The 20,112-nt window shown below is 45.2% G+C and overlaps 1 protein-coding gene across 10 annotated transcripts in view, besides 5 other annotated features; it reads right to left on the minus strand.

Moving 5' to 3' along the window:
* Positions 35 to 536: an enhancer, noted in NCBI's record as "H3K4me1 hESC enhancer chr17:49029041-49029542 (GRCh37/hg19 assembly coordinates)". NCBI's record gives its function as "activates a minimal SCP1, AML or CMV promoter by ChIP-STARR-seq in primed H9 embryonic stem cells {active_cell/tissue: H9 hESC(primed)}" and the evidence as "EXISTENCE:reporter gene assay evidence [ECO:0000049][PMID:30033119]".
* Positions 2,237 to 3,436: an enhancer, noted in NCBI's record as "MED14-independent group 3 enhancer chr17:49031243-49032442 (GRCh37/hg19 assembly coordinates)". NCBI's record gives its function as "activates an origin of replication core promoter dependent on BRD2, BRD4, P300/CBP and CDK7 cofactors, and independent of MED14, by STARR-seq in HCT116 cells {active_cell/tissue: HCT116}" and the evidence as "EXISTENCE:reporter gene assay evidence [ECO:0000049][PMID:35650434]".
* Positions 2,237 to 3,609: a biological region, named in NCBI's record as "MED14-independent group 3 enhancer GRCh37_chr17:49031243-49032442".
* Positions 2,248 to 2,928: an enhancer, noted in NCBI's record as "H3K27ac-H3K4me1 hESC enhancer chr17:49031254-49031934 (GRCh37/hg19 assembly coordinates)". NCBI's record gives its function as "activates a minimal SCP1, AML or CMV promoter by ChIP-STARR-seq in naive H9 embryonic stem cells {active_cell/tissue: H9 hESC(naive)}" and the evidence as "EXISTENCE:reporter gene assay evidence [ECO:0000049][PMID:30033119]".
* Positions 2,929 to 3,609: an enhancer, noted in NCBI's record as "H3K27ac-H3K4me1 hESC enhancer chr17:49031935-49032615 (GRCh37/hg19 assembly coordinates)". NCBI's record gives its function as "activates a minimal SCP1, AML or CMV promoter by ChIP-STARR-seq in naive H9 embryonic stem cells {active_cell/tissue: H9 hESC(naive)}" and the evidence as "EXISTENCE:reporter gene assay evidence [ECO:0000049][PMID:30033119]".
* SPAG9 (sperm associated antigen 9) overlaps positions 10,529 to 20,112 on the minus strand; it is a 158,695-nt gene continuing 149,111 nt past the window's right edge. For all 10 annotated transcript variants that reach the window (NM_003971.6, XM_005257771.4, NM_001130527.3 and 7 more), the window contains 2 exons: positions 19,062 to 19,211; positions 10,529 to 14,742 (listed from right to left, as the gene is read on the minus strand). In NM_003971.6, the coding sequence (NP_003962.3) occupies positions 14,627 to 14,742; positions 19,062 to 19,211 (266 nt within the window). In that variant the 3' untranslated portion in view covers positions 10,529 to 14,626. The remainder of the gene's footprint in view (positions 14,743 to 19,061; positions 19,212 to 20,112) is intronic.

Raw genomic sequence — 20,112 nt, forward strand, 5'->3', positions numbered from 1 at the left:
GGAGCCTGTAGTCCCAGCTACTCGGGAGGCTGAGGCAGGAGAATGGCGTGAACCCAGGAGGCGGAGCTTGCAGTGAGCTGAGATCGTACCACTGCACTCCAGGCTGGGTGACAGAGCGAGACTCCGTCTCAAAAAAAAAGAAATGCTCAATGGGTATGGATTATTAGAAATCATCCAGTCCAATGCTCTCATTTTATAAGCAGGGAAACTGAGGCCCACGTGTCTTTACAACATGCTACAAAGCCAGGGACTTGGAAGTTCCTGAAATCTTGAAGCTCTTCCACTCCCCTCCTCCACCATCACGGCATTCTAGAACTCAGAACAAAAGGCCAGCTCTTGAGTCCTCTGGGCCCCTTCCTCTGCTTTCAGGGGCAGGTATGCTTGGGTAAGTGTGGTGGTCACTCAGTCACAGGAAGTATGTTCTGGGATGGGACAACCACAGCTGGTATCCAGCCAGCTGAGTCAGGGCCACCCATCTGCAAGGTGATGAGTGAGGCTCGGCACGTGGGCTGGCACAGCTGCCCACCTCAGGGCACACAGGGGCGTGCTCACATGGCAGCTGTCCAAAAAGGGCAGATGTCTCTGCCTTTGGCAATCCCGCCTTCACCTCCCTCTCCCCACACACACCGCACCCCAGTCACAGGGTGATCACACAGGGGTCAGAGGAAGGAGGGCAGGCTGATTCAGCCTCTTCCCATCTGGTTCTGCTTCCCTGTGGGCAGGTGTCCTTAATATTCTCTCCATGAATGAGCACCTGGTACCCACAAACTCCTTGAAATTGAAGGTAGGAGCCTTGTTCCAGGATAAGGATCATATAGCTGTCATCAGATTTCAAAAAGGATTTTACTCCCAAAAAGGCAATAGGAAGAAAAGCAAGTGGGCTGGGCGTGGTGGCTCATGCCTATAATCCCAGCACTTTGGGAGGCCGAGGCAGGTGGATCACCTGAGGTCAGGAGTTCGAGACCAGCCTGGCCAACATGGTGAAACCCCACCTCTACTAAAAATACAAAAATTAGCCAGGCATGGTGGCACGAGCCTGTAACCCCAGCTGCTTGGGAGGCTAAGGCAGGAGAATCACTTGAACCTGGGAGGCAGAGGTTGCAGTGAGCTGAGATCATGCCACTGCACTCCAGCCTGGGCAACACAGTGAGACTCTGTCTCACAAAAAAAAAAAAAAAGAAAAGAAAAGCAAGTGGACAGGCTTTAGAATTGGATGATCCAGGTTCAAACAAGGGCCCATCCTGGAGTCCTTGGCACTTACTGTCTACGACAATGGTTCTCAAGTAGGGACGATTTTGCCCCCTAGGAACATGTCTGGAGAAATTGGGTATGCTACCGGCATTTAGTGGGCAGAGGCCAAGGATGCTGCTATGTATCCTATAATGCACAGGGCAGGCCACACAGCAAAGAAGCACCCAGCCTCACATGTCAGTACTAGTGAGGTTGAGAACCGCTGGTTGAGGTGTCCTGTCAAATGGGGAAATCTGTGCCCCACAGCCGCCTTGGGGATTAAGGCAGGCAATGGATGAGGAACCCAGGACTGGGCCCAGCACACACTCCACAGTTGCATGGGATTCTCCTCTCCTAAGGACTTTTTGGCCTGGGACATGGTAGCTAGCGGGCAGAGGTGGAGTAGGCACATATTTTGGCTTTCACGAGAGAACTTTCTGAAATGATCTTGATGCTCCTGTCCCACCCAGCTCATGGCACAGTTTCTCTAGAACAATCCCATGCTCATTTATCAACAAGGAAAACCCAGGCATGGTGGCTCACACCTGTAATCCCAGCACTTTGGGAATCTGAGATAGGAGGATCACTTGAGCTCAGGAGTTCGAGACCAGCCTGGGCAACATGGCGAAACACTGATTCTGCAAAAAATAAAAAAAAAATTAGCTGGGTGTGGTGGTGTGTGCCTGTAGTCCCAGCTGCCCGGAGGGCTGATGTAGGTGGATAGCTCCAGCCTGGGAGGTTGAGGCTGCAGTGAACTATGATTGTGTCACTGCACTCCAGCCTGGGCGACAGAGGGGAGACCCTGTCCCAAGAAACAAAAAAAAAAAAAGAAAGAAAGAAAGAAAGAAAGAAAAAGTGGGCTCTGGAAGGAGCCAGCCACCGTTGCCCTCTGGGCACTCACCATCTCACCCCTCAGGCTCCAACAGGGTTCCACGTGACCAATCCCCGAGGGGAGAGGAGACTGCGGAGAGGATGGGAGGCAAAGCACCTCCTTCAAGCTCCAGGGAGGCAGGAGGATTTGTTTAGGAGTGGCCCTGTGCAGAGGTAGGGGCATGGCTGAGAACACCTTGGGAGGTGGTGTGAAGCTGAGTCCAGGAGCCGCCAGCCCTCCCTGCCACTCAGCTCAGGGGTCACTTGGGTAGCTTCAGCCTCAACAGCCGTGGAGTCAAGTGTCTCCTCTACAAAAATAATTCCCAAATAAGTCACTGCCTTCACCCCTGGGACTGGCTGGTGCACCCAAATTGGAGTCGCCACCCAGCCCCCTTGAGCATTGCCTTGCTGGCTGATCCAACAGAGGCAGAATTAGCTGATGAGGCTACCACAGCGGGAGGGAACTGACCTGAGGCCGCCTGGAGAGATGGGACCCCGAGGGCCCTTTCTGGCACTACTCACTTGTTGGGTCTGGGGAATTAAAACACACTCCCCCTCTCTGGGTCTCAGTTTAACAGGGAGGAGACCACCACCTTCCAAACCTCAGTGACGGCATCAGGCTGGGGGTGGTGCTGGGCCTCCTGCGTCTGTGTCTGGAGACGCAGCTGACTCCCTGACAAGCCCAGACATGCAGCTGTTCCTGCAGAGGAAGCAGCAGGAACTGGGGAAGGGCAGAGCGCTGAGGGAGGGGCAAGAGGGATGCAAGGACACCACAGTGACCGCGTGCAGCGAAGCGAGTATGAGCAGAGTCCCAATCTCCAGGTCCCCTCTCCGCGGAAGCACTTTTGTCTTTATTGGAAATTTCCTCCCATGTAACATCTGACCTCTACCTTCTCTTCTACAGATGAGCTCTGCTGTGAGTCCCAGCGGGCTGAGACACTGTGACTGCCCACCTGTCCCCAGGTGCCCCTTCTATACAGCCCCATCCCTTCCCAGGGATGCTCAGTGGCTGCGGCCACCCTTGCTTTCTGCCACTCAGCCCTTGCAGGGGCTTCACACCCCAAGAGGGGCAGTCTGGGCTGGGGCTCCTGGACTCCCTAAGGCATTATCCCATCCCCGCAAGTTGCCCGGCCGGGCCCTGAAGGAAAGGGGCCCCGGACCCAGACCCGAAGGCTGCTCACCAGAGGCTCTGCCCAGGGACTCTCACCTCTCCAGCCACTCCAACTCCCCTCCGGCTTTCCTGTCATTTCCTGATGCCACAAATCTTCTGACATCCTCCCTCTTCCCCAGTGAATTTCTTCCCCAGGCCCTTCCCTTCCTCAACCTGCTTCATACTGGACATTCCCAGCTGGTAGGATCTGCCTGTGGCTCTGCACAGGAGGCTGGGCAAGGGTGGAGAAGACTGGGGGAGCTGTCTCCCATGACCCCAGCAGAGGCGAGAGACAGAAGCTGCATCTGGGACCTGTCGGCTGCAGTTTTGGGCATTCATACCCACCTAAGCATTCTGGAACAGCCCTGAACCTGGGCATCAAACTCCCCAGGCTTGAGAATGGTGAACACTACTATTAGGCGCCCCTTCCTCCAGGCCTATGCCGACTCCCCTGTGCCCATGGAAGCTGTGTAGTCCATGCTGGCTCTGGCTCATGTGGGTGTCCGGACAGTGAGGCCGAGGCGGCAAGGGCCCTTTACTCTGTGCACTCCCAGCTCCCCATCCCAGCCAGGGCAGCCTTGACCCTCCTGCCCCCTTGCTGTGCCATGTGTCAGTTGGCTGGGATCATGCTCTTCCCCCGTCTCCATCAAGAGGATCCAACAGCATCTTGCAGCTAACACTGGGGCATGGGAGTGAGGGAAACAAACATGGTACCCACTCTTCTGTCCTAATGTTTAGAATCATGGGGCAGAAAAGCATCCTAGAACTCATCTAGCCCAACTGTCATTTTACAGAAAACAGGACAGAGAGAAAATGACCAGCCTAAAGCTCTTGGCTACTCAGGGCAGCTGGGACAGGGGTCTGGTTTCCCGGCATGGAGCCACAGTGTCTGGATGTGCTGGAACTCGGCACGTCCCCCTGAGAGTTAGCTGCAGAGGTGGCGTATGGGAGAGGAGGCTGGAAAATAGGCTTGGAGGTTTCGTCCAGGCACACAGATTCTCTCCCCCTAATCCTCAGCCCCTCCTTTTCTCCCTTTCAGCAGCAGTTATAAAATCCAGGAAATAAATGTGGATTGATGGCCTACAAAGGGCTTAGTTAGTGCTGTGACCTGCTGAGTTATGTAACTGCTATTTATTATCGGCCTTGGATGAAGTTTCCATTGAAGCAACTCACTAAGCTGATTCCGTGACATTTCTTTTAGCCTTGTTCAGAAGCAGCAGCCGCAGAAATTCTTCTGAAACTTCAAAGACTAGAAATTGATAGCGTGGATGCTTTTAAAGATTCCCTTCTTTCATCCTTTTTTTACTTTTTCTTTTTCTTTTTTCTTTTGAGATGGAGTCTCGCTCTGTCACCCAGGCTGGAGTGTGGTGGTGTGATCTCGGCTCACTGCAACCTCTGCCTTCCAGGTTCAAGTGATCCTCCTGCCTCAACCTCCCAGAATAGCTGGAATTACAGGTGTGCACCACCACACCCGGCTAATTTTTGTATTTTTAGTAGAGACGGGGTTTCACCATGTTGGCCAGGCTGGTCTCGAACTGCTGACCTCAGGTGATCTGCCTGCCTTGGAGTCCCAAAGTTCTGGGATTACAGGCGTGAGCCACCGTGCCTGGCCCCTTCTTTCATTTGGGTCAATTCTTCTCTCATCCATATCAACCCTGTTGACCTCAGCAATGGTCCCAGGCTTTAGGTGCTTGGGTCCCTGGGCTATGGGCCGCATGATGGGGGCTGAGAGAAGCTGTTTTCCCTGCCCCTGGCAAAGGAAAGGGGTTGAGAAGAACCCAGGGCTATGAGAATCTGGAGCAGCCAGTGGAAAATGCACAGAATGAAGTCAAGATTCTAGTCCCACCTCTGCTGCCACTCTTGGTCTCAGGTTGATTATTAGTAAAGTGAACTGCTTCCCTCGGCTCTACAACTTGACCCTCCGTAGTGCAGCACCCTCCTTGGTCTGGCCTGCTGTCATGCAGGGTTCGCCAGCCCACTGAGGATGAAGAGGAGGGCTGAGGGGCTGGTAGGCTCTGGGTGCTGGCAAGCGGAAGGGAGGAAAGGTAACACTAACATGGCGCCACCGTGTGTTCAAAAGGGAGCAGAGCTGGGTCTCTCCCCAGCAAGGCAGCTTTCCTCTCCCCAACCCCTTTCCTGCTCTGGGAGTGGGTGGTGGCAGAAAGCCAAGGATCCTCCTAATTCATCTTCACCTCTCAGCCATTCACCTTAGTTGCCAAAGGGGCCCTTGGGAGAAGCTCCCCGAAGGCTCTAATGCCATCCTAAAGTAGCCTTTTGGAGACTTCCAAAAGGTTCAAGAAGGAAAAGACCCAAAGGAAGTCTAGGACCCAGAGAACTCAACAGTGTCTCTCTTCCTAATTAAGACACATTCCTCCCATTCATGGAAGGGTTCATCCCGATGCCTCGGGACAAACTGGTGCGTCAAACAAAGCAGTTTGTACCAAGTGGTGCAGGCTACATGATTCTCTCCATTAAGGATCTGAGCACGTTTGTGACTATTGGGATCTGGCTGGGCATGAAGGCTGCTAGTCCACACAACCCAAGTTGCAATGGAAGAGACGGCCCACCCTCAAAGGATGTCACCTTGAACATAGCCTTACAGGGCATCCAAGCCAAGTCCGTGCTTGTCCCCAAGGACAACTACAACTGGGGACTCAGAGAGATGAGATGACTTTTGATGGAGCAGTGGTAGGGAGGGACTAGAATCTACAGTTCTTTTTCTTCTTTTTAAAATAGGTTTTGCTATGTTGCCCAGGCAGGTCTCATACTCCTGGGTTTAAGCAATCCTCCTGCCTTGGCCTCCCAAAGTGCTGGGATTACAGGCGTGAGGCACCATGCCTGGCCTTACTTTTTACTTCTTATTTTTTCGAGACGGGATCTTGCTCTGTCGCCCAGGCTGGAGTACAGTGGCATGATTTTGGTTCACTGCAGCCTCAACCTCCTGGGCTCAAACAATCCTCCCACCTCAGCCTCCTGAGTAGCTGAAACTATAGGTGCGTGACACTATGCCCGGCACATTTTTTAATTTATTTTTTTGTAGAGATGGGGGTCTCACTTTGTTGCCCAGGCTGGTCTTGAACTCCTGAGCTCAGGCGATCCTCCTGCCTTAGCCTCCCAAAGTGCTGGGATTATAGGCATGAGCCAGCCACCGAGCCTGGCCCCAAAACCTACAGTTCTTTACCATGACTTGGTTTTTGAGTTGCTCACTTCCAGCTCACATCTTAACACACCAGAGGGGTCTTTGGGAAGAAACGGCTGTCACTGCGGGGTCCCAGAAACATGGCTTTAATATGGGTGGGAAGGTCTGATAAACCCTTAATCGAGTGAAGCCCAGGACTGGGACTTTAAATCAGTCAAGGCCTGCCTAGAGGCATCTGCCCCGTTTCTGCTCTTCTCCAGCTAGGCTCCTTCAGGAAGGATCAACGTTTGAGATGTCTGTAAGAATCACATGCCAGATTTCTGCTCCTAGTTCCTTATGAACAGCCCCAGGCAAACTCTCCAAGACAGAAATGTAGACGGCATACATAGTAAAAGCCTGCTTGCTCAGAAGCCTATCAGGCCAAAATGCACCAACAGGCAAACAGCTGAAAATGCTCTCCTGAATTTGGAACTCAAACCCACTGTCACTTGTCTGGGGCTGGCCAAACGCAGGGGAAAGTCAGCTTGATGAGAAAGAATAGCAGGAAAATAAATCGAGGCCTCTGTGGGGGAAGCATACAAGTATCTGTTAACTGTCGAGTACTACATCTTTATGTGATCTCATTGGTTCTTTCCAACAATCCTGTGAATGAGAGACCATCATGACAATACAACTGATGAGGAAATCCAAGTTTCTGAAACACCATTCCAGTCTCTTTGGGTATCTCTGTACCTGAGACGTCCTACAAAAAATCTTAATCCCACTTCACATTAAAGCCATGTTTCAGGAACCCCAAGGTGACAGCCCTTTCTCCCAAAGACCCCTCTGGTGTGATATATGAGCCAGAATTTTGCATTCTTGCTTAGAAGGAGTGATGCTAAGCTTTTTAATCATGTAGAGAAGCATACGACCATCCTTGCCACTGTTCCACACCATTGTACATCTGATGATGCTAATATCTTATTTGGTCCTTTTTATCTGCTCTACCCACTTATATGCAGTGACTGTGAGTTTAATTATTGTCATAAAGCATTATGAGCAACAGATACTGAATAAATGTTTTGAGGACATCTGAAAATGTGAAATTTACCACTCTTTCATGCTTCAGTATGCCCCTCAATGTGCCTGCATAGGAATGAAATTAACTCTTAGATGCAAAAGAGAGTATGAATTATCTTGTGTTTAATTTTCACGGGATACTCCTTTTCCTTAAAATGGGGGGGGGGTGGGGTGGGACAACAGAGAACAGTATTCCCCAGAAGGTCCAATAGGCCCAAGCGACCCCTGCTTCCTAACACAGTTCTGTTAGGACAGACATGGCCTGGAACCCTGGTAAATAGAATAGAGATAAGAATATTCTGCATTCAACAGGACTTGCAGGCAGTTTTTCTTTTTATCACATTACAAAGTAGATACCATACCTACATCATTTGTTCAACTACTGCTTCTAATATGCAGCCACAGCACTTGATCACGTCACCATTTCCGCATCTGCTTTCCTTGACTAGCCCAGTCTCCTTGAGAGTGTCATAGTCATCTTCAGACACCTGGCATCTAGGAACCTCAGGTCTGCTACTGAGTGCCTAGCAGGGCCAGGTGGCAAGAACCCTTGGGGGTGTTACTCTTCTGACAGTAAGGAAACTGTGACTGAAGGGTCACAAAACTGGGAAACAGGAGATCCAGGATTCAAACCCAAGTCTCCTGATTTGAGATGTGGCACTTGTCCCAACACACCTGCAGTAGCCTCCAGTGTTCAGTTGTTGTACCGCCCACTGAGGCACCTGAGCCTTTACTTGTCTCAGTCGGACCTCTTTACCAGTGGGCAAGGCCACATCTGTGGTTAGGCCTCTGGATCATCTGAAAGCTGTAACACTCTAAAAAGGGGGTTTCCATGAAGATCAACTATGAATTTATAGGCTAAATACTTCAGAAAAAACTATCAGATGTTATGCAAATGCAAGCTAGGCATGATAACAACTAAATGGTTATGGCTTTTTCTAGAAAAAAAAAAAAAAATCAGGAAATAGCCCTGACACGTGAATACAGACTAATAGGAAATAAAATATTTCCTTTAAGCTTTTAATGTAGCAATTAACTTCCCACCTCCCTTCCCAAAGCACTGGGATGACAGGTGTGAGCCACCGTGCCCAGCCTGAGTTCCTCTTGGGCAGATGTTCCCAATGGGAGGATCAGAATCACCTGGTAATTGTTTCCCCATGTTCCCCAATAGAGTCTGATATTCTTGAGAGGAGAGAAAAAGAAAAAAATGTTTATTCTGTGAATAGCTCCCGGGGTGATTCTGGCCATGCCTCTCTCTCCCAGCCTAGCTGAGAACTGCAGCTTCTAACTGAAGTCGCTGTTCCCACGGAGCCGGGGCTTATTTGGTCCACTTCTCCTTTGGTGCTTCAAATCAAATTATAACTTCTTATGTTTTGGAGACAGGCTCAACCTCCCTAGGGCTCAGGTGATCCTCCTACCTCAGCCTCCCAAGTAGCTGGGACTACAAGTCCACACCACCATACTCAGCTAATTTTTAAAATTTTTTGTAGAGATGGGGGTCTCACCATGTTGCTCAGGCTGGTCTCAAACTCCCGGCCTCAAGTGATCTGCCTGCCTCAGCCTCCCAAAGTGCTGAAATAACAGGTGTGAGCCACTGCGCCCAGCTCCGTAACTCCTTTATGTCTGTGGGTGGGAGTGAATGTTCTGTGGTTAAAAGCAAGGAGCTAAACTATGTGGCTTCTTTTGTATAGTGTCATTCTGATAAATTGGAAATTCTAATTAATCCAATCCTACCCACTGGCTATCTGGGCCTCATGAGGGACTGGGCGACAATGGACTCGCAAGCAGGAGTGGTCCTTACTTGTATAGACAACAACCAGGCAAATCAGAGCCGGGCCACAGAACCAGGGAGGGTCAGAGCTAGGATTTTTTTAGATTACCTGACTAAGCCACCCTGTCTTTTAACACATGAGAAAAACAAAGGTCCAAATACATGAGAGTTGCATGCTTCAACCTCTGCTAAATATCACACTTACCCACTACTCTTTACAGACGCCTGGGCCCAGACCCCACAGGAGGGTCCGATTCCACAGCCCTGTGTGGGGGACTCTGGGATACTATGTTAAAGTGATTTGCTAGGGTCACAGCCTGGGTTATACAGCCTTCTTTCACACCATACCACTATGTCTTTCTAAAGAAAACGAGTTTAAAGCAAAATTCTATCAATTATCCAATATTTAAGGCATTCTGAGAAGTCCCCTAACTATAAAACCTTTCCTAATAAATTGGCTGCTGCTGAAGATTAAGTCCAGGCCCCTTGTGATCTCTAGGCTTTCATGCCTACACTGAGTCTGAGGGATCAGGGGCTGGTTAAGGAAGAGCCTGGGGGCTGAAGCAGTCTCTCTCCACTAGTCTGAAAGATAGTTTTTCCACAAGGGGGACACTGCAGACTACAGTTCTAGTGATGAGGCTGGTGCTCCTGCCCTGTTCCCCAGGGACTAAGGGGCAGGCAGGGTAAGGTCCTATAAAAACTAGGAATGAGCCGCCCTAGTCATTGTATTCTAGGGCAACCAACCTCACTGAACAGATGACTATGCCTTCATCTAGTGAATGGTCCTATTAACATGCCAACTGGGGCAACTTTTACTATCACGTTAAAACCCCACGTTTCTTGAAGGCACAAACAAAACACACTGGAAGAGATTAAATCTCGCTGCACTGAATCTGGAGTCACATTGTGCTGCCACATGATCAGTTTTATAGTCATTCTTCCTTCCCGAGTCTTGCCCAAGCAAATGGATCACAAATAAGCACGCTGCGTTAAAATTACATTACACCCTGCCTCTTATTATTGAATAATTTGGCAAATAGTATGCCTTAGTATCATGTGTGGGCTGTTACTCAGGGATCCCACATTTCTCCTAAGCCCTCTTGTCTATTCTCATATCTCACCTGAACACGTGAGCCAAGCTGACCAGCATGAGGGTTCCCCACTGCTCACCTTTAGCTGGTGCCAAATGGCAACAGTCCTGACCCTCAGGAATGACATGTGTGATGGGGAAGATTATTGGACTTGCAAATAAAAACCAAGTTCAGATCCCCAGGAACGGTAAAAACAAAACAAAACACACTAGACCTCATACATGTTCATATACATATTTATATATATCTCATGTACAAAGTTACATTCTGAACCCCAGGGATTCCATAATAGAAATAAATACTGAAATAACTACATTGCTAAATGAGCTCTTTGCTCATAGAAATGAAGCTCAGCCTCTAAGAGACAGCAAGTGGGACATTCTAGAACCCATTTTTCAGATTATAGAGGCAAGTAAAATTCTGATAGAATGTCTTGGACAAAAAACGAATTTGGAACATAAAATGGTTAAGATATATTCAAATAGAGAAATGTATGACAAAATTAATAAAACTTAATCTTTTAAGAGAAAAGACAGACATTTAGTGTTACAGAATAGCATAACCCTGTTAGAAAAGCATTTATGATTTCCACATTTAATTTTCTCTTCTACTCTTCCCATGTTACAAAGTGGGACCAAATGAGTCCCTTTCTGAACATGATCAATTAAGAAGAGCCCTAAATCTGGTTGAGTCCTTTGGTAACGGTCATAATACTCACAAGGAAATAAATATTCAGTTCCATGGCATTTGCAAGACACATGTTCTTTAGGACAGTTAATATTATGACACATCTGTTTTATTTTGTTACTAAGGCAGCCTATGTTAAAGGGTCTCGTCTCAAATGTAGGAAGACCTTTACAAGAAATGAACAATACAGTAACTGAAAGAATTGATTTTAACCTTTTCTATGCAAACACAATCTGAAAAGTTATGTGCTGCATATTGTGCTCAAAATGTTTTATACTCTCCACAAGCTGCAATTAAGAGATTCATTCCTATTTTTAAAATTTAGATCCACATGGGTTAGAGAAAAATACTCTCAAAAGTGAGTTCCTAGAGAATATTATCCCTTTGCCTCACAGAGATTTTAACCTGCATTTAAGAGTAAGTGTTAGGTTGAGGCATATGATATTGTCGCTTTTGCAGATCAGCAATGGTTGAACACTGGCAATTTCATATGGTTCAACCTTGCACATGACTCAAGTGTAAAAAAAGGAGAAACCTTCAAGTATTCCTTATTTCTTCCAATAGGGGTACACTTTTTTTGTACAGTGAGATCAACCCAAAGTACGCAAGCCTCTTCTCTCCCTTGATGTGGTAGCTACAGGCAGTTACATTCCTTTGCTGCTTGTGAGAAGCTTACATTTTGGCATTTTCTTCCAAAAATTACCACGTTGACCAAAGTAAACATTACAAGAATATGAACTTGTTATTGGGGGAAAGGGGAAGTGAAGCAATCTGTAGAAAATATTTAACTGAAATTACAAACATAAGGACAAGCCTTTAAAGCAAATTATACAGGCATTTTTGTCCTCTCTCTGGTCCCTGCAGTTAATTAACAGGGCCACAGATAATCTGACATCTTTAGATAAAACAACTACACACCTATATTACTTAAGTTAAAGCCAGTAAGTTCAAAAAAAGCAATTACAACCATTTGACATGTTTGTATTTTTCATCTCTAACTCCTGATTTCCTAAATTACATTCAGTCATACAAACATGGCTGAACAACAGCAAATGGGATCTGACTCTGGGATGTTTACTTCTTGGGATTAAAATTCCCAAACACTTTGGTGTCTCTTTCTTGTGAATCTATACAACATTTCCAATAAATGTTTAATAATGATTTTTTAAAAGATATTGCCAAAAATGGCTCAGATTTAAGATGAAATAAAAACATAGCAAACAAGCTATGGAAAAGTAGCCTACATTTTGGTGCCCTGCAAAAAAGTGACTAAGTAGCTCAAGCAAAAAATTATTCTTTTAATACAGCTTTTACCAAAACAGTTTTAATACATGAGTGGCTACAATTTTATTGTGTACACAATGTGCTTATAGTCACATGTGGCCCAATGGATCCAAATGCCTCCTCTGGCTCATGAAATCCCATGTACTTCACAATCTAGCCTAATCGTGTATATGCATAAAAGCCACTGGTATACTTTTTACAGACATCTTTGTATAATAGTCCAGAAAAAAAAAATCAGTGGTACTTAAGAATGTTTAGACAATTTGACATCTACGTTTGCTTTCTTTTCTTTTCAGTAGTCCTTCTGATGATTGGGGGCCTTTATCCCATAGGTTTATACTGTTAAAACAGTACATAAAATTACATTTAGCTTTGCTTCGGACCGGCGCGGGGGCTCACGCCTGTAATTCAAGCACTTCGGGAGGCCAAGGCGGGTAGATCATCTGAGGTCAGGAGTTTGAGACCAGCCTGGCCAATGTGGTGAAACCCTGTCTCTACTAAAAATACAAAAATTAGCTGGGCAGGGTGGCACACACCTGTAATCCCAGCTACTTGGGAGGCTGAGGCAGGAGAACTACTTGAACCTGAGAGGTGGAGGTTGCAGTGAGCTGAGATCGCACCACTGCATTCCAGCCTGGGCAACAGAGCCAGACTCCGTCTCAAAAAAAAAAAAAAAAATCATATTTAGCTTTGCCTAGAGTAATAGATAAAAAAGGGTAAATCACACATTTTCAAGAAGCTTGAGAGGGAAAAAATTGCAGCATCGTGGTTTTAAAAAACTTATTAAGCAAGAAAATCAGTGAAATCCAGACTTTAATCTATTTTTTGCTTGTTTGTCTGTTTTGAGACAGGGTCTTGCTCCGTCACCCAGGCTGGAGTGCAGTGGTGCTATCAAGGCTCACTGCAACCTCCACCTCCTGGGCCCAGGTCATCCTCCCACCTCAGCCTCCCAAGTAGCTGGGACTACAGGCATGTGCCACCACACCCGGTTAATTTATTTTGTTTTTTTTTTTTGGTAGAGACAGGGTTTCGCCATGTTGCCCAGGCTGGTCTTGAACTCCTGGGCTCAAGCAATCCATCTGCCTCAGCCTCCTAAAGTGTTGGGATTACAGGCGTGAGCCACCATGCCCAACCTATTTTTTTTTTTTAATGGGCATTGTGAATGAAAATATGTAATGTCAACCTTTACTTTATGGTATCTTAGGTTTGTCTTCTTCCCCTTCATAGTTTTCCCCTTTGAGGATAACCCTTCAAGCTCAAAAGGGCACAAAAGCTAAAACGTTATTCACGTACAAAATACCAAGTATATAGCTGTTCTGCAGTTTGATACAGAACAAAAGAAAATAACTTTTCTAATTAAATCCCTCATTCTGTACTTAGGCCAGACTCCATCCCCACTACAGTTTTACTTGTATTAACAGGTTAAGAGCAATCTAGGAACATTTGGCAAACAAGTACATTTTTTACATGGAAAAAACTCAATCAACATCACCATTCTCTGGTACAAGAAATACAAAACACATTTCCTTTAAAAAATCCTCCCAGTGCTGAAGTATCTTCTAAGCTTCCCAGAGTATGTCCTAAGCTTTATAAATAATAAATCTTTCAGACATGTCAGTATGAAAATGAGACTGGTCTCAAAAAAAACCCATCAGAATATTCAGAGAAGTAGGCCTCATAAACTTTAGAGCTCTAATAAGTCAGAAACAGGAAACGTTTATTTAAATAGTGTAGTCTTAATTTCTTTAATATAAAACCCCCCCAAATCTGATGAAAACAAAGTTTTATATACCATATAAACAAGATTTGTCAGATTTGAAAGTGAAAGTTAAAGTAATTTACAGTTAGCTTTTAACCCTCTCGGGACATTTAGATACATCCTGATAATCCATCTTGTATTAGTGTGTGTCAATTTTACAATACACTGGGGAAAACTCAGCTATTGTATTTAACGGTACAGTTTCATTTATCAAGTGTTTCCCATTAATTCCATTATTAGTGACAGCTAACAAGTGACCCCATCAAATGAAGTGAATGACATTAGACTGTGGCAGAGTAAACCACATCTGGATTGCTTTCTATAATTCACCAGTTTGCAGGAAGTAAACATTCTTTGATTTGTTCATAATATACTGAAGTTACCTATAACACTGGTGCAGTAACACAGCTAGTTCCTCTGTATTGTTATGGTAGAACGGATTTTGTAATATAAAGTTAACAGGAAAAAATGCTCACACATTATGTGGTGAAACTTATCTCACAAAAGAGCATTAAATAAAAGGATAGAGGGAAAATAAACCATGCAGAAGAGACGGCTTCCCCATCTCCACCTGTTTCCCATGGGCTCACTCATTGCCATACATCACTTGCCACACTATCAAGTGACTCCTTTCTGCTTTGGTGACAGAAGGTTCAAGTGGAAGATCCTCTCCAAGAAGTTCTGATTCTCCACCTTCATCACCTAGTGAATGATAAGAAGACTCAAGTTAGGCTGAACACATAAAATATAGAATGATGTGAGTCAGATGTAATGCTCGTGGTTAGTCCATGAACAAGATGCCCAAAACTTGTCTGACTTTCACTGGAGAGTAAATAGTAGAAGAAATACTAAGAGTCAGAATCCTCACCCATATTCACCCAAGCCACTGCTTGACTTCAGAAAAGGTTAATTCATTTTTCAGACTGTATTTATAAAATCCAGTTCACTATACTACGTTAAAAAGCCACCCCAACATGTCTGCATACCGATGGTCCAGACATGGGAAGCTAAGAAGGCAATTCTGTGTTCATCCAAAATGAAGAGTCTACTGTCACTTATTTTAAACTAAGAACTGAGAATAGTGTTATAAAATGCGTGAGCACAGGTACAGAGCAAACTAACTAAACCCAAATAACTCACAATTATCAATGACAGGTGTAATGTTCTCCAATTGAAGATAATTGACACAAGCATATGGAAATTAAAATAATTAGCCTGCAGCACTGCAGATGGCAGATTCACCAGCTACTGGGTTTTTCTTCCAATGATTTTCAAGTTTAGGATAGGTTACAAATTAACAGTGTATAATGGAAAAGGAGAAACAAAGAGGTTGGGGTAGCAGCCAAGATACAGGTTCTTCTGCATCACGGCTAAGTGAATGTGATCCATGGTGTCCTGATCAGACACTGGCTTCCAAGGCCCAGTCTGGGGTACACCACACTCCTCTCCATAAGACCCAGTGCAGGGCATACCATAATTCTCGATACAAGCTTGCATCAATTGTATCTGTTGTCACAGAGCAGGGTTATTTTGGCACAACCCAGTGAAAAGTTGTCTAGTGGGATGGATTCTTCAGCAGAATCCTAAAAACATACACACCACAGGACCTAAAGATATATTCCACTGATCTAACAGAATTTTGTAATGTGCCCCATGTGAATTTCAGCTGGACAAAAGAAAATATTGATACTGTTGACTAGAAACAACAGAAGAGAAAAAACCCTAAATATCTGCATTTTTCTCTGCAGGCCAAACTTTCCCTTACCCAGCCCTGTAATGGCCTTTTCACAGCAATATCAAACTAGAGAGAGGAGAACACTCAGTTCAAACTCCCATCTCTGAACTGAAACATACCCAGGTGGTTAGAAGGTAAAAAAATTAAGTTTGGCTCTTAAATTTTAAAAAATTTCAATGAAAAAAATTAACTGGCTGAGACAAAAGGCTGTCGCCATTTCTCTTCTGAGTTGTTCTGAAGATTTTACTTGTAAGAAAATTATCCTGTCTGCTAGGGTCTCTACAGCCTAAGTTTTAAGTTTAAATCATTAAAAATATGGGACTTTAGAATCAATTTCTCACTGTTAAAATATTACAGGAAATGAAAAAGGAAATGGACCCCCAAAAAAGATCAAATTTGATTTTTTACAACAGTATATTCACTATTAAAATTAGCCTATGCTAAAGACAAGTCTGTTTTTCAGGCTGGAAATAACTAGAGATACTGCCAAACCTGGTTAAGCAATTTTTGTTCTATTTTCAGGATCCACAATGGAAGGAATTTTTAGTGGAAATGGAAAAACCACATAGAGATTTTATTAACAAACTCCTCAGTACGGTTCCAACTGACATACTGCACTCCAACACAAAGTTACAAAAATCACCCCAGCCAAGTGGAGTCCCTAACAACTCCTCTCATAAAAGGGAATTCAACAATAGTCAATTATTCAAAACACTTTGAAATGACTCCATTCCTGCTGACATCCCTGGAATCAATTTCTAAAGTTCACACTAACAGCCTTCCCCTCTTAAAAGTGTCAACAAACTTTTTGCATCAGATATTGGTGACACTAATCACATTTGTCACATTGTCATTTAAATGACCCTAATTTTTTTTTATTCCTTTACAGAATTCATATCTAAAGTATTTGTTACTGATCTACAACACTATTATATTCTCTCAAACTGCCTACTGCCTTATGTCTGGGAACTTTTTGAAGCACTGAGATTTTAAGCGAGTCCAAGGGATCAGTTTATTTATAGCAAATAAGCTGGGTGCGGTGCCTCATGCCTGTAATCCCAGCACTTTGGGAGGCTGAGGCAGGTGGACTGTTTGAGGCCAGGAGTTCGAGACCAGCCTGGCCAACATGGTGAAACCCCGTCTCTACTAAAAATACAAAAATTAACCAGGCGTGGTGGCACATGCCTGAAATCCCAGCTACTCGGGAGGCTGAGGCATGAGAATTGCTTGAAACCGGGAGGTGGAGGTTGCAGTGAGCCAAGATTGTGCCACTGCACTCCAGCCTGGGTGACAGAGTGTGAGACTCTGTCTCAAAAAAGAAAAATTATAGCAAATAAATAAACATATTTGTACAGTGTCTTACAATTTACAAAGCACTACTCTTTCACGAGCATCAGTTCTCCATGTTTTCTTTGTACCTCTCTGGCCATTCCTTCTCAGATCCCTCCATAAGCTCTAATGATCTTTAAATGGAGTATGAATTCAGGGTTCTATCCTGGAACCTTTCCTTTTTCTTTCTTTTCTTTTTTTGAGATGGAGTCTCACTCTGTCACCCAGGCTGGAGTGCAGTGGTGTGATCTCGGCTCACTGCAACCTCCACCTCCCGGGTTCAAGTGATTCTCCTGCCTCAGCCTCCTGAATAGCTGGGATTACAGGTACACGGCATCACGCTCAGCTAATTTTTGTATTTTTATTAGAGACTGGGTTTAGCCACTGGAACCTTTTCTTTTAGCTCCTTGGGCGAACTCACCAACCCTCATGGCTTTTAGTACCACTCCATGCTGACAGCCCCCAAATCCCTCCCTCCTAAGATAGAGGACCTGTATATTCAGAAGCCCAGTGGAAATTTCCCACCTAAATCACCACTATGCTCTTCAAGATCAACATGATCAGCACTGGACTCCTCTTTCCGTCCCTCCAGACCTGCTTCTCCTGTTGACAGTCCTGAGCTCTATGGCCCATTCTCTCCTTCCCCACATTCTCATCATGCTTCTTATCTGTTCACACTGTTACTACCTTTCTTGGGCATTCACTTGTTCCCAACTCATTTCCCTAGGTCTAGTCTTGAACCTCCAGTCCATCCTTCACACAACTCTAATCACATTGCTCCTATAGTTCTCTTTTGCTTGAAAGATAAAGTACAATCTTCTTAATCTGGTATGTAAAGGCCTCCCATACTCCAGTCCCTCCCTCCCTTTTGACAACAAATTCATACTTTCTTCTACTCCACACTCTTGTCATTTTAAAATAGTTTTTCTTCCATTAAAATGGTTTCATATCTCTAAACCTTTGGCCAAGCTATTCTCTTACCTCGGAGTGCCAACCCCTGGTCCTCCCCACCCCATTCCCCAACCTGACCCTTTGTGCTAAGACTATGCAGTGCTGAGTCACCTCAAGCATCATTTCTTGACTTCCTTCTCTCCCTACCCTTGGAAAGAACTGACTACTCACTACCAGAGCATCAGTAACATTTTAATTTATTAACATGTCTCTATCTCTGCACTGTTCTATAATCTATTAGACGAAGGCTTTGTCTGATTTGTTTCTGTATCTCCAGTTTAAGAATGACAGGTACACAGTAGGTGCTCAATTAATGTTTGTTAGGTGAGAAAATGAACAAATGAAGTTGTTTAAGAAATATTTTTATTTCTCCATTTTGACAGAAAACCGAGGCTCTAAGAGGTTGAATGACTTGTCCAAGGCCTTCTGACCCTAAATCCTATGCTTTTCACATAAAACTTCACATTGACCACATCCTGCTATTTCTAATGCTCCTTTCAAACAAATACATTTTGGTATGAAAAGAAATACCAAGGGCCGGGTGCGGTGGCTCGGGCTTGTAATCCCAGCTGGAAGGCCGAGGCAGGCGGATCACTTGAGGTCAGGAGTTTGAGAATAGCCTGGCCAACATGGTGAAACCTTGTCTCTACTGAAAATACAGAAACTAGCCAGATGTGGTGGTGCATGTCTGTAATTCTAGCTACCTGGGGGGCTGAAGCAGGAGAATCACTTGAACCTGGAGGCAGAGATTGCAGTGAGCTGAGATCATGCCACTGCACTCCAGCCTGGGTGACAGAGTGAGACGTCATCTCAAAAAAAAAAAAAAAAGAAAGAAATACCAAAAAGAAAAAAACAAAAAACAAAAACCCACAAAATCCTTTCGTGTGTAAAGAGCTCAAAGAGAACCTCTTATAAATCATTATCAGAGTGGTTTCTTATTTACTTTGGGACAAAACCCAAGTCATAGCACACAGTGCAAACTGAGCACCCAGAACCAATGACATACCCATTCGGAAGTCGATGTAGCCCTCTCCTCCACTGATGACAAGCATAGACTTCAAGGGCGTCTGACTACCAGGCTCCTGTGCAGATGGCCCTGCTTTGTCACCCGTCAGATCCGTGCCACTACTGCTACTTTGTGGGCTGATGACTTGACCTGTTTTATACAGAAACAAAAGTGAATATTACTTATCACAGAAGGGAGGCTGTTTTGTTTTTTTTTTTTAAGTATTTTTAGAGTTAAACAAAAAGGTAAATATATTCTAATAACCAAATACTGGGGAAGCTAGAAGGCTCTGCATGATCAGAAAACATTTACATGAAGGTTTTAAGAACCCGATTTGAGGTCAGGCATGGTGGCTCACACCTTCGAGAGGCCGAAGTGGGAGAATCACTTGAGGCCAGGAGATTGGGACCAGCCTGGCAAATATAGTAAGGCCTCATCTCTACCAAAAAAGTTAGCCGGGAATGGTGGTATGCGCCTGTAATCCTGGCTTCTTGGGAGGTTGAGGCAGAAAGATCACTTGAGCCCAGGAGTTCAGTGTTGCAGTGAGCTGTGATGCGCCACTGTACTCCAGCCTAGGCAACAGAGCAAGACCTTGCTTCTAAAAAACAAACAAACAAACAAACAAACAAACAAACAAAACCCAATTTGAAAATCTAAGTAAAGCAATTTTGTAACAAAGCAGGAATAGGCCCCAAATCCAATATGAGATATATGCATGGCAAGGTGGGTCTTAGCTGCCTGCTTCAAACTACCTTTTTTTTTTTTTTTTTTTTTTTTTTGAGATGGAGTCTTGCTCTGTCGCCCAGGCTGGAGTGCAGTGGCACAATCTTGGCTCACTGCAACCTCCGCCTCCCGGGTTCAAGCGATTTACCTGCCTCAGCCTCCTGAGTGGCTGGGACTACAGGCACGTGCCACCATGCCCGGCTAACTTTTTCAGTAGAGACAGGGTTTCACCGTGTTAGCCAGGATGGTCTCAATCTCCTGACCTCATGATCTGCCTGCCTCGGCCTCCCAAAGTGCTGGGAATACAGGCATGAGCCACTGCACCTGG

The sequence above is a fragment of the Homo sapiens genome, chromosome 17 (genome assembly GCF_000001405.40).
Source record: "Homo sapiens chromosome 17, GRCh38.p14 Primary Assembly".
Lineage (NCBI taxonomy): Eukaryota > Metazoa > Chordata > Mammalia > Primates > Hominidae > Homo > Homo sapiens.